Genomic DNA, 13,206 nt, shown 5'->3' on the forward strand with positions numbered 1-13,206 from the left:
AAAAATTTTACTTAATTCCATTGACAAAAGGATCTTATAAACAATTTTTGAGCAGGAGGAGTGATGTAATCAAAAGTGTACTTTGTACTCAGAAATCTTTTCTTGACACAGAGTTCATAAAATCATAAACTCGCAAGATGAGAAAGGAACTTTTAAGTCATTCAGGTTGATGCTTGAATCCCTACTACTAGGTCCTTGCTAATTAGTTGTACAGCCTGTCTGAATTCTTCCAATGATGGAGTACCCACTACCTCACAAGGCTGGCTATTCCAACTTCAGACAAGTTAAAAATGTTCCTCTATGCAAAGCTACAATTTGCTACCTCATGGTTTCCAAAAATTGGTTGTAGGTCTAACTTTTGTAGACATTAGAGAACAAGCTGATTTCCTATTCCATATGACAATCTTTCACATGTTTCAAGGAAGTTCCCATGCCTCAATCACAGTCACCCCTAGGTCCCCAAATACCCCTCTTTAAGGCTAAATATCCTCTCCCTTTATACACCCATCCTTCACTTAACCCTTTTCTTAAAGAATTGCATAACACTTATATCAACCCTTGGTTATAATTCTTTCCACCTTTCTTACACATACTTTTAAGCCAGGTGTTGGTATATTGTTTCAATAAAGAGCCTGATAGCAAATATTTTTGACTTTTGCAGACCACACAATCTCTGTCACAACTATTTAGCTCTGCCATTGTAGCACGAAAACAGCCAAAGACAATACATAAACAAATGTGTGTCCATTTTCCAAGAAAATGTTACTTATGAACCCTAGAATGTGAATTTTGTATCATTTTCACATGTTGCAAAATATCCTTCTTCTTTTGATGTTTTTAGCCACTAAAAAATATAAAAGTCATTCTTTGCTTTCAGGCCACACAAAAACAGGTGGGGGGCCACAGTTTCCAAGTCCTGTTTTAAGCTACAGACTTAGCTTCACTTTAAACAAAATTGTGTTGCCTTGGTTCTCCATACTTTTTTAATGGTTTATGATTCTATTCAATGCAAAGTCACTCAAGTTTCAATTTTTGAATACTAGGATATGTATCTCTACCTTTAATAAATGATGTAATGTTTGCAGTGAGCAGCACTGCCCCTTAGTGTGTGGTGAATATCAATCATCCTGGGCACTAAGTTCAAATATCCTTTGCTCCAATACTCAGCTTCAAAGCTTCAATTCAAAAGGCAGAGAAAGCATCAGTAGACTTGAAGTGACTTATTGAAAGAGATTAAAGAGACTCCACATTACATTTCCTATGTACTAAAATCCTAGACACTAAGCCTACCTAAGTCTGAATGACAGGTCTGCGCCTGTTATGGTTGAAAGTCAAAAGCAGCTGAATGAGCAAGGGCACACAAAAAACTCCACTCCGCATTTGTGCCTCTGAATTTGTAGGTAAAGTTCTATGAGGTCAGAATTTTCTTCTACAGCTCTTAGTAAAACAAAATGGACATTGCTTCACCTTTGCTCTTTTTTAATCGATGTCTTCACCTATACATTCTGCAGTATATTTCCCAGGTTCCTAGTCACTTTTGAATCTCTATCATACTAACGAAAAGCAATGGCAGTCTATACTAGAATGCACACAGGCAGTTATATGAGAGTTAATATTCAAATAAACATATCCTACATTTCACAAACAAGTATTAAATGTTATGATGCTTTTACGTAACTGCTGCTGCTTAAGCATTGCTATTTAGAAAATACTGTATCACTGGGCACAGTGGCTCACACCTGTAATCCCAGCACTTTAGGAGGCTGAGGCGGGCAGATCATGAGGTCAAGAAATCGAGATCATCCGGGCCAACATGGTGAAACCTCATCTCTACTAATAATACAAAAATCAGCTGGGCGTGGTGACACATGCCTGTAGTCCCACCTACTGGGGAGGCTGAGGCAGGAGAATCACTTGATCCCAGGAGGCAGAGGTTGCAGTGAACCGAGATTATGCCACTGCACTCCAGCCTGGCAACAGAGCAAGACTCCGTCTCAAAAAAAGAAAAAAAGAAAATGTTGTTATCACTTCCTCACAAGATAACGCATAAGAATAAATACCTTAAATGAACTCCTGTTAGTGCATTAATTGTATTTCATGTCAGATTGTTACAACAGTTCAAGGTACCAAATCGAACACTATTGCTGCATAATAAAACATATGACATTTATAACTGGCTATTCAAGCTTATGAATAAATAAAAGCTGCAGGGATGATAGCCAAATAAAGTCTAACCTTAGAAAAAGGTAGATTAAAGGAAAAGTAAAATGAACTCCAACCCACTGGCATAATTTGCTCGCATTCTATCCAAATCTGGTCCAACTGTAGGAGTCTATGGGATAGAAGCAAACTTAAATACAACAGTTCTATGCCCATTTATTCACTGAACGCCTACTCTGGGTCACGTGCTATGCTGGTCTCTTTAAATACAACTATTAATAATTGTGGCCGGGCACAGTGGCTCATGCCTGTGATCCTGATACTTTGGGAGGCCGAGGCAGGAGGATTGCTTGAGCCCAGGTGTTCAAGACCAGCCTGGGCAACACAGTGAGACCCCGTCTTCACAAAAACTAAAAAAGCCAGCTGCGTGCAGTGGCACGCACCTGTAGTCCTAGCTACTCAGGAGGCTGAGGTGGGAGGTTCGCTTGAGTCCAGGAATTTGAGGCTTCAGTGACCCATGATCATGCCACTGCACTCCAGCTGGGCAAGAAAAAGACCCTGTTTCAAAAAAAAAATTTAATAAGAAAAGAACATTTTAGTCTTTTAAGTGCATGAGGAGGTAATAAACTCCTAAGTGCATAAATACGTGGTTTTAAATATTTTAATTCTATAGTCAAGAAGAACCCATCAGTACATTTTACAGTTTATTAATTTTACCAATGATGTATTAATTCATATTTTTCATATTCTACTAAGAATGTAATGCTCTAAAATATCAATATTAGGCCGGGCACGGTGTCTCATGCCTGTTATCCCAGCACTTTGGGAGACCGCGAGGTGGGAGGATCACTTGAGGTCAGGAGTTCAAGACCAGCCTGGCCAATATGGTGAAATCCCATCTCTACCAAAAATATTAAAAATTAGCCGGTCGTAGTGATGCGCAACTGTAATCCCTGCTACTCGGGAGGTTGAGGCACGAGAATCACTTGAACCTGGGAGGCGGAGGTTGCAGTGAGCCAAGAAAAAAAAAATTAGCTGTTATCACACAATTAAGTACTAACATGGAAATTAAAAATCATGAGTAGCTGTCTTTCCTTATGAAATTTCCTAGACTACACTCCATAAGCAGCAAATAGAAGTGTTACTGTGACTATAGAACAAGTTGGCAATTTTTTAATTTGACTGTCATTTTTCTAAAGTATCTGTAAAGAAAATCCATTTCTGACTGGACTGATAATTTATAAAATATCCTGTGCTGAACCAATACTAATTAACATTTAATACCTCCTGATAAGCCAAAAACAGGGAAGTTAATAAAGAGCTAAAGCAATATTTTCTAAAAAGTATTTTTTTCCTACAATTCTAATGGAGAATGTCATTTTCTTACCTTTTAAATAGAAAACACTTTCATTTATAATAAAGCTGTGATTTGAAAACAAGCAGTAATAACACAATTTTCATTACATTGTATACCACAGTATGTGATTCTCTTTCTGAGATGCTATCAGAAAAATGCATTGAAACTACTACAAAAGATATGGTAATTGTAATGACTAATTACTAATACTCGGATTCAACTCTAATATATACAAGGCCACAAGCAATGCACACACAGGCTCTTGAGCTGGCTGGAAAAGGAAAAATCTCCCCAGAGGTTAAAAGGTAAGAATTTTTTTTTTAACTAAAATTAAGAGTCAAAGCAGCCCTGCAAATAATGCAATAAATGGTTCTATCAAGAAATGTTCCTTATTTCAGAGAGTTAAATTCTGCTTTTTCTACTTTAAGTACTTAGAAGGACCTAAGAAGGTACAAGGAATTACTGATTGAATTTTGGGTACTCTTTCCACATGTCCTTTGCAGTAAACTGACTAATGTGCTAGATCTTTTGGACTTCTTAGATTCTTCCAGAATCTCCCAGTCACATTTAGTCGTCACTCAATGAACAGAGATACTCTCCTGACATTCATTTCCTAAAAGGAGTGGCAAGAAAATTAAGCTAATGTTGGTAAAGGGATTGGCAAGCATTATATAAAAGGTACTACATAAATACAAAGTATTACTTCCTCTTATGGTTATTTGATAAGGGTCCTTTTAACTCTGATAAGTTTTTGACTATCCTAAGACTATGACCTCATTCTAAGATGGTTTTCTTAGAAAGAAAATGGTAGGGCAATTCATATGCTCTGAGCTTAAAAAGCTAAGTTGATCATATCCTTCCTACTTGTTTATGTAGTTCAATAGAGACTGATTACTTACTTAAAGACCACACAAATTCTCAGAGAAAGAAATCACAATCCTTTTAGCACAGAGAAATTGAACTGAAACTCATTTTCTCTTTTGTATAGCTAGCATTTTTTAATGAAAAAGAGCCTCAAAGAAATCTGCAACCTTTAGCTGAAGGCTTTCAAAGTGAGGCATATTTAGAAGCGGAAGTTCGTGCCTTTATGACTGTTAGTTAAGTCAGGAGCCATGAATTCAGTACTTTGAGATCTCTGAATCAAATATAACTATTAAGGTTTCTACTTTTTATAAGATGCATTTCACACTATTCATGTCTCTGAGAAAGAAAAGAGTCATCTTTAAGCCAGATCGTTTTTAAAGGTATCTTTAGTAAGCTAAGTTCAATCATTAGTAAGATTTTCATTTGAACACAGTGACACACTCACATAATGAATCAAATTACATTCTCTGTAGTTCTAAGATGGGATTTTTCAATGAAACAACTTCTTTGTATTTCAGAAATCACAAGTGCCTCTTTCAAATGGGGCAGTTTCTCTTCCTAGATTGTGAATGTGATTCACTATACAGAAGAGTTACTAAAAATGAAAGGGGGAAAGAAGATCATCAAGAACCATCAATCCATTTCTATAATTTCCTAATTGTTGAAATTATCATGAAATATTCTAAAAAGTTCCAAATGTATGTGTGTTTTAAAATACATTATTTATACTCTAAATCCAGAATTATAAGCAAAAATTATTATAAGCAAAAATTATCCATTAACTAGAAGGGAAATAAAAATTTAATACGATAGAAAAAGTAATAAATAAAACTTTTCAATTAAAATATTTAAATATAAAATAAACTACTGCATGTTTCTGAAGATTGTTCAGAAATAATAAATTCCACTTTCTAGAAGGTAATTGAAGACAGAAATGTCTTCATTTTTAACAGAAAAAGATTTCATTTTATGATCATTTAAATAGTTAATATGTGCTTTTTGGAAAACATAATTGAGATTTACATTTCTCGGTAAAGAAAGAGTACAGAGGTAAATGTTTTGTAAAAAGAAGATGGAAGAAAAACAGATTTTTTACAAGGGAGTTCAGAGACATCTAGTGGTTGATAATATTATACTGGATTTTTTTCTTAGAAAATAAAATAAGGTTATGTAGTTCCACAGTCGTGTTCATATTATAAATAGTGTTAAGATTTTCCTTGCACTTTGAATGTGTTTCGTCCTACTGGTTTAATGATTCCAGAAACTGAAAACAGCATTAAGCTCTCAACCTTTTAAAAAATTAGCAAAATATCACTGAAATAAAAACTCAAAATTCAATAACTGTTCTATCACAGAAAAGGGTATGTATATTCTAAAACATGATTAACTGACAAATGCAGGTAGGCATTTGTCTTCTACAAGCTGTTAGTGGTGCTCTAAATTAAATCATTACATGTATAAAACCCCAAATGGCTAAAAGATTTATCCTGCATGGCTTTTAAAAGGAGTTCTCTGCTAAACATAGTCATAGATTCACTGTGCTAAAGGGGACCTTAAAAGGCCAAGTAACTTACTGCCAATGTCTTCAGAGAGTCAAAATAGAATTCCACTTTCAAAGGCTAATGAAAAGCTATTCTACATTGTTCTTCAATAATCTATTTCAATGATCCAAAGAACTCTATAAAACAACTCTTCCCTATATCCAACCTCAGTCCTTCAAGCTACAGATTACCTCTTTATCTTTTTTATTCTTTTCTTAATTCTTCCTACTGTACCTTGCTAACATATATATCTTTTCATATTCTTTTGTACAAGTATAGCACTTTACATTTATCCCTATTAAATGTCATGTTTGCTGGGCGCGGTGGTTCACGCCTATAATCCCAGCACTTTGGGAGGCTGAGGCAGGTGGATCACATGAGATCAGGAGTTCGAGACCAGCCTGGCCAACATGGTGAAACCCCATCTCTACTAAAAATACAAAAGTTAGCCGGGCGTGGTGCAGGTGCCTGTAATACCAGCTACTCGGGAGGCTGAGACATGAGAATTGCTTGAACCCGGGAGGTGGAGGTTGCAGTGAGCCAAGACTGCACCACTGCACTCCAGCCTGGGTGACAAAGAGTGAAACTCCATCTCAAAATAAATAAATACCTACATACATACAAAAATAAATAAAATAAATAAATGTTGTGTTGCTGGATTCAACTGATCCATCATTCCAACTACTCTAGCTCCTTCTGGATCATGGCTTGGTCTAAAATATTTGCTAGCTCTCCAAGCATACGCCATTCATAAATTTGATGGACATACTCCACACACTCTAAATTTGTGTTAAAGTTTTAACAAATATGTGATCTTCTAAAGCATCTGCCAAAATTAATGTCTTCACTACAGTAACCCAGATTTTTCCTTTCCTTTTATTCAACTTGAACTGAAAATATAAAGTGAGTCAAGCAAAATATTAAGCATTGTTTCACACTCAGTCAACTTTTGGACAAAAAGATATTTATGATAGGTAGCAGCTAAGAAAAATGTATCCTATTTTATGACTAGTCACAAAAACATTGTTTGCATTGTTAGTTTCTGGTTGCTTTTAATTTTTAGGCTGCATAAATCTATTTTGTCTTAATTACCTTGGCTGACAAAAGATTAACAATGCCAACATTAAAAATGTGTTGCATGTATTTCAAAATCATCATGAACACCACTGCTAAGTAGGACTAGAATAGGAACACAATTCACATTAGAAAGTAATGGAGGAAATCACATAAGCTAAAATAAAATATCTCTTCAACTTAAATATTCTGTTTCCTAATAAAAAACTCAACTTAGGCAACAACTCCTTTTCATTAAAAGTCCATCTTTAAGTCATTCGCATAGTCTCAAGCATAACCTGCTTAATTACAAAGGGGAAAACATAACTCTAAAGCGGAGAGCTCTGAAGATCATCACATTAACAAGTGACCAAACTTAGCATCACCAACAGTGTGACAACATGACATAATGTGCCTTCTGATGGGATGCAATAAAAAATACATAACATCACTTCCACAGCACTCTTGCCAAATACGTTGAACCTGAATCTTACAATGAGTAATGAGGTAAATCCACAATGTGGGACATTCTACAAGACAACTAGCCTGGACACCTTTAAAAAGTCATGATCACGAAAACCAAAAGGTTGTGGATTAAAAGAGATTAAAGAGACCCAACAACGAAATGTAATGTGTGAAACTTGCAGGATCATCAATTTTAAAAAAAACAGCTATAAAGGGGGCATTTTGGGGGCAACTGGAAAAGCTTATACATAGACTGTATACTAAATGACATTACTGAATCAATGTTTTCAGGTGGGATTGTGGTTATGTAAGAAAATGTCATTATTCTTAGGAGATACATGCTTAAGTATTTAGAGATGAACACTCACATTGTCTGTAATTTTCAAATGGTTCATAAATATAGTTAAGTATACTTATAAAATATAGATACGCATTTCAGAATATAGAATATAGATGTCCCCGTATTTTTTAATACAAAATATAGATTCTGCACGTATATATAGGTGCTACGTATGTATACACATACACACAGAGAGAGAGAAAGAGAGAGCGCCAATGTGTCAAAATGTTAATTGGAGAATCTAGGTGAAGGATATATGGCATCTGAAATTTTTCAAAATAAAAAGTTGGAGGAAATCGGTAAGAAAGGAATACATACCATGGCAGTCCTAGACTTGATAAACCAGTCAAATCTAAACTGGGGAGCATTTCGTACACACTGTCTTAATTCTTCATATACATTTTCTCTATCAAAGCCCATTTTGTGTAACATACAAATCAAGAATCTATCTTCTTCCTCAGTATAGTTCTTTCCTTTGCTGGTTCCATACTGAATGCGCAACTGATGAAATGGAGCCTTGTATCTTGCAATCTGTGTATTTAAACAAAATAGTGCTTTTAATTGAATGTGCAGTAAGAAGTCAAAGCTGACCACTATTTCAATTAAAACGATCTAATAATAATTTGACATAAAACATAGTACTTTGGCATCCAGGGCTTTCTTGATACTGATCCTTCGTTGAATTCTTGCTTCTCCACGTTCAATTTGAGCCATAATTTTCTCAATGTCCTGTAATTCATTGCAACGTTCCCAAAATACAGCTGAAAAACAGAGTTATTTCTTTAAAATCCTATCATTTAAGCAAATAAATCCAAGGAATTGTAGAATAAGGAATTAATAGGAAAGAATACAATGAGCTTGTACTTCTTAAAATTAAGATTCAGATTAATCTTATATATATAATATGTTAAATTATTAAATACTACTAACTTTTCACTTAAAAATAAGACCTCAAAACAAGGTTTTAGGTTAGCAATTTTCCTTCATGAAATAGTACGGAGTCTTACGATCCATCCCAAATGACTAGGATTTCAAAAGATGATGCAGATACTGATTTAAGCTAGGCTTTTTACTCAAACATGATAGAAAAGGGACCAAACACATAAAGTGACACAGGAGAGAGTAATATATAAACAGTGAATATAGCTTCCTAGCATGCGAAAACAATTATGGGCCAGGCACAGTGGCTCACACTGTAATCCCAGCACTTTGGGAGGCTGAGGTGGGCAGATTGCCTGAGGTTGGGAGTTTGAGACCAGCCTGGCCAACATGGTGAAACCTCATCTCTACTAAAAATACAAAAATTAGCTGCACATGGTGGTGCGTGCCTGTAATCGCAGCTACTCGGGAAGCTGAGGCGGGAGAATTGCTTGAACCCGGAAAGTGGAGGTTGCAGTGAGCCGAGATCGCGCCACTGCACTCCAGCCTGGGCGATTAAGTGAGACTCCATCTCAAAAACAAACAAATAAACAAAAAACCCAAGCTATTATGAACAGGTTGTTCAAATTTTTTTCTATGGAGCAGCCATTTCTCTTGAAATTGTCATTTGCTTTTGGAATCACTCACTAATCATCTTACGGTATTTCCAATGACCAGTAGTGTGTTTTTAAACTTACTTGGAATACCCTTTTCTCATAAAAAAAAAAAAAAAAACCTCATTGGGATTTTAATTGCATACACACTGAAAAACATTCCAAGTCACTCAACCAAATTTTATAGATGAGCCAAATAATCTGGCTGTATTAATATGTCACATGACTTCAATGAAAGGCCTTTTAATGACATACTCCACATCCTCAAGCTTTTCATTTTTAGAGCCTATCAAGAAAGGTATGTGAGCACTCTGATTTTTATAAGCACCTGTGTTCATTTACTCATTCACTCACATATTCATTCAACAAATATTTAAACACTTGCTATGTACAGGATACTGTATATTCATGGGTGGTCAATTGTACACATTTCTTCTCTTACTGTAACCAACTACAACAAACTCATTGCAATCTCCTCACCCTGTGACATGGCCCCCAACCTGGCAGGCAGCAATTAAATAGTCCTGAGCTAGTCATGCCACCTGGCTTGGTGTCAAATTTGAAAGAAAGTCTGACAGGATCATCTTTTTAAATCACATTTTTTTCTTGCAACTTCACATACACCGATGTTATCTCCCTGCCTATCTTCTGAAAAAAATTCTTCTTAAAAATCTCTCTGCACATACCCTTTTACATTCTTTTCATTCAACTCTTGATGCTAAAATTTCTCTCTTCAATCTATTTTTTCCCCTAAGCCTCCAAATGCCCTAAATTTATGTGCTAAATGTTCAGAGTAATAGTAATATCATGCTGGTATGAAGGAAAAGGAAGTTCATATACTTAATGTTATATTATATGTAATAAAAACTCAATACAACTGACCTCTGAAGTCCCCCAGAAGACTCTTTTAGATTTCCAGAAGAAAAAAAAATCTCTCTAATTAAATCTGGATTTCTTCAAGCACTAGCATGCTAGATAAATTAAAAGCTGTTCCTAGCTATTATTAATCTTTAGTATATTTATTGGTACTGTAATGTTTCTTTCCTACTATTGCAAAAACAGAATTTCAGTGGTAGGGTTAAATAGATTTGGGGCAGGGGCTATCATAGAAACTTAAACCTACTTTGTAAACTTAAACCTACTTTGCCATTGTTTCAATGACAAAAAATGCTCTAGATTCTAAACATCTTGTTTCAAATGATAAGTTTAAGAGCTGAACCTATTTGGAAGTTAGAAAAGTCCCATGTACTACATATAGAAAACTTGCTAGACATATTTACCTATTTTTAATAAGATTTCTGGATAGCTAAACACGAAGAGGTTTCGCCCAGGGAGGGCACCAAAGCGCTGCGCCCTCTTGGCCCATACTTTGCCCTACACGCTTCATCTGTATCCTTTACAATACCCTTTATAATAAACCAGTAAGTGTAAAAAAAATCCATATGCTTCAGCAGCTAAACTGATTCTGGTCGAGCTCAACAACACAGGTGAGTAAGAGAGGGAGAGGATTTGAGGACCAGTTAACAGATTGATTAAAGCAATCTTTTCAGCTCTACGCCCGCTAGCCCCAAGTTAATGGGACCCACAGGAACTCTCTGGAATAGGGTGGAACTCTGAGGGTGTTTGAGCATCTAAATGGGCCTGACAGGAACTCTCTACTTTAAGGACGACCTAGAAAGAAAGGCACGAATTCAATCCACTGAATGTGAATCTCAGAACTGAACCAGAAGACCAAATTCCAGAGGTGGGAAGGTGGGAAACTAATTTTGTCAATGCTTATCCAAGAGCCACCCTTGTTTTATCAGAGCTTTATTTGCCTCTTTTAGCTAGGTGATAGAGACAATAGCAGTCAGTTTGTTAGGATAAATCTTATAACCTTTCTTATAACCTTTTCATAGAAATACAATTATAGTTTATACTCTCATCTATGTCTTATTCATAAAAGTTTAAAACATCTCTGAACAAAGGTACAATTAAATTGATGCTAAATAAATGAATAACGTTAAAATACAACACCATGTTTCAAATTATATACAAACCTGAATACTCCATGACCTCCTCAGGGGATTTGCCCTCTACCTCTCGAGCTATGTTATCAATGTCATCTCTTCCATATTTCTCATTAGCTTTAATAAACTGGTTAAAATCTCGTTTAGTCCAGTTTGTGAAACCCTGTGAACAAAAAGTTAAGCATTATCAATAGAGGTTAAATTAATAAATCCATTTATTGCCCTATTTACTTCTATACAATGATACATTAAAAAACACTTTAAAAGACTTAAAATGTTTCTCCTTATAAAATTGCACATATTTTATGTTGGAATCAAAAGTTGAGTGAGAGTTGTTATAGAAATAACTGCTTTTCTATTACAAAGAGAATGTTGATACATAGTTCGAAGATCTGTAGTTTTTAATTTCATATTTTATAGATGCCTACATTAAAATACAAATGCATGAAAATAAAAATGCTAATATAAATGCTGAAGTCGTGATATTCTAGTACTTCAATGATTTTTTTCACAGATCTGTTCCTACATAAATTAAAAGAGAGAAATGTGGATGCACTAAATCAAAAGAACACTGAGGAATAACCAAAAGATAATGCAAAAAAAAATTGTAGCTCTTTACATCATTCTGAACTAGTGTGAATAAATAATTTCTGTTCTAAATTATGTTCATAAATAGAACTTCTACAAGCAGAACGTTATTGGAGCCACTCAATTTCTTTACTAAAACATAAAACACTTTAGCCAGTGTTTTAAATTCCCTTGGCATTATTAGCATGTCTGTGAAGTCACAAGACCAAGAATTTGTCTTCCACTCCTCGAGCCCCAACTCACATAAATGTGATACTCCAGACACTGCAAAACTCTATCCCTGGCTTTTAGTTGATAAAGATTTCAGATGACCCCACATTTTGTTCCTACGTACTGCCATGGTTTTTTGAAAAAGATTAATTATTTAAGGCAGCAGAGAAGGACAAAAATGAATTCATATACTAGGAGAAGCAGAAAACTGATTATATTTCTAATTACAAACTAAAATATTATCTCAGTTGAGACTGTATATTCATGTTATACCGTACATTCACAATATACTCCAAGTCATGTAGCATTCTAAAGCCATAACTTTACTTTTACATTCAGGAAATACATTTTGAAAATAGAACATGAATATTTAAATGTTTTATTTTATTCTGTGGTAAGTTCTAATATTCAGCCATCTGCCATTATATTTTCAAACTAAACTTTATTACTTCCAGGCATTTGGCTCAAAAACTTATGAATGTAATTTGTGAAAATCCATACAATAAAATTACGTTATAGCAAAAAAAACCTATATAATAAATAATATACAAATATAAAAACTATCTTTCAATAATTAACGTGGAGAATTACCTACTACTATGCATCGCACATTGTTCAAAATTTGTTGAATAAATAAATCTTGCTGGCAACCCTCTATACTAAAGTAATGTCCTACGGTACACATTTTGTTTATTTTGCAAGCCTTCTATGCTGAAATTTTTATCTTCTATAGTTTATTTTAGAAGTAGAACACTCGTAAAACTCATGATAGCAATAATGACTTAAAAGCATTAATATTTTGTTCAAATGGAAACCTTCCTAATTTAATAATTGTTATACAATGATCACCTTAAATAATAATAATAATAATAAAAGCTTCAGAAATCTCTCATCATTGTATGAAAATTATAAAAAAAGATAAAAAGAATTTTGAAAATTATGAAATTATTCCATTAATAAAAAATTAGTAGAATATAACTTCAGGAGACAATTCACATCTATAAACAAAAGAAATTTAAATTTTCAAGAATATGTTAATAACAGGCTTGGCACGGTGACTCACACCTGTAGTATCAGTTGCACTTTG

General features: G+C 34.6%; 1 protein-coding gene across 7 annotated transcripts in view; it reads right to left on the minus strand.

Annotated features, from left to right (window-relative positions):
- Positions 1-13,206, minus strand: part of SMARCA1 (SNF2 related chromatin remodeling ATPase 1) — a 76,985-nt gene that overhangs the window by 10,916 nt on the left and 52,863 nt on the right. For all 7 annotated transcript variants that reach the window (NM_001282875.2, NM_001378264.1, NM_001378263.1 and 4 more), the window contains 3 exons: positions 11,352-11,484; positions 8,423-8,541; positions 8,099-8,311 (listed from right to left, as the gene is read on the minus strand). In NM_001282875.2, the coding sequence (NP_001269804.1) occupies positions 8,099-8,311; positions 8,423-8,541; positions 11,352-11,484 (465 nt within the window). The remainder of the gene's footprint in view (positions 1-8,098; positions 8,312-8,422; positions 8,542-11,351; positions 11,485-13,206) is intronic.

This window comes from Homo sapiens, chromosome X (assembly GCF_000001405.40).
Source record: "Homo sapiens chromosome X, GRCh38.p14 Primary Assembly".
Taxonomy (NCBI): Eukaryota; Metazoa; Chordata; class Mammalia; order Primates; family Hominidae; genus Homo; species Homo sapiens.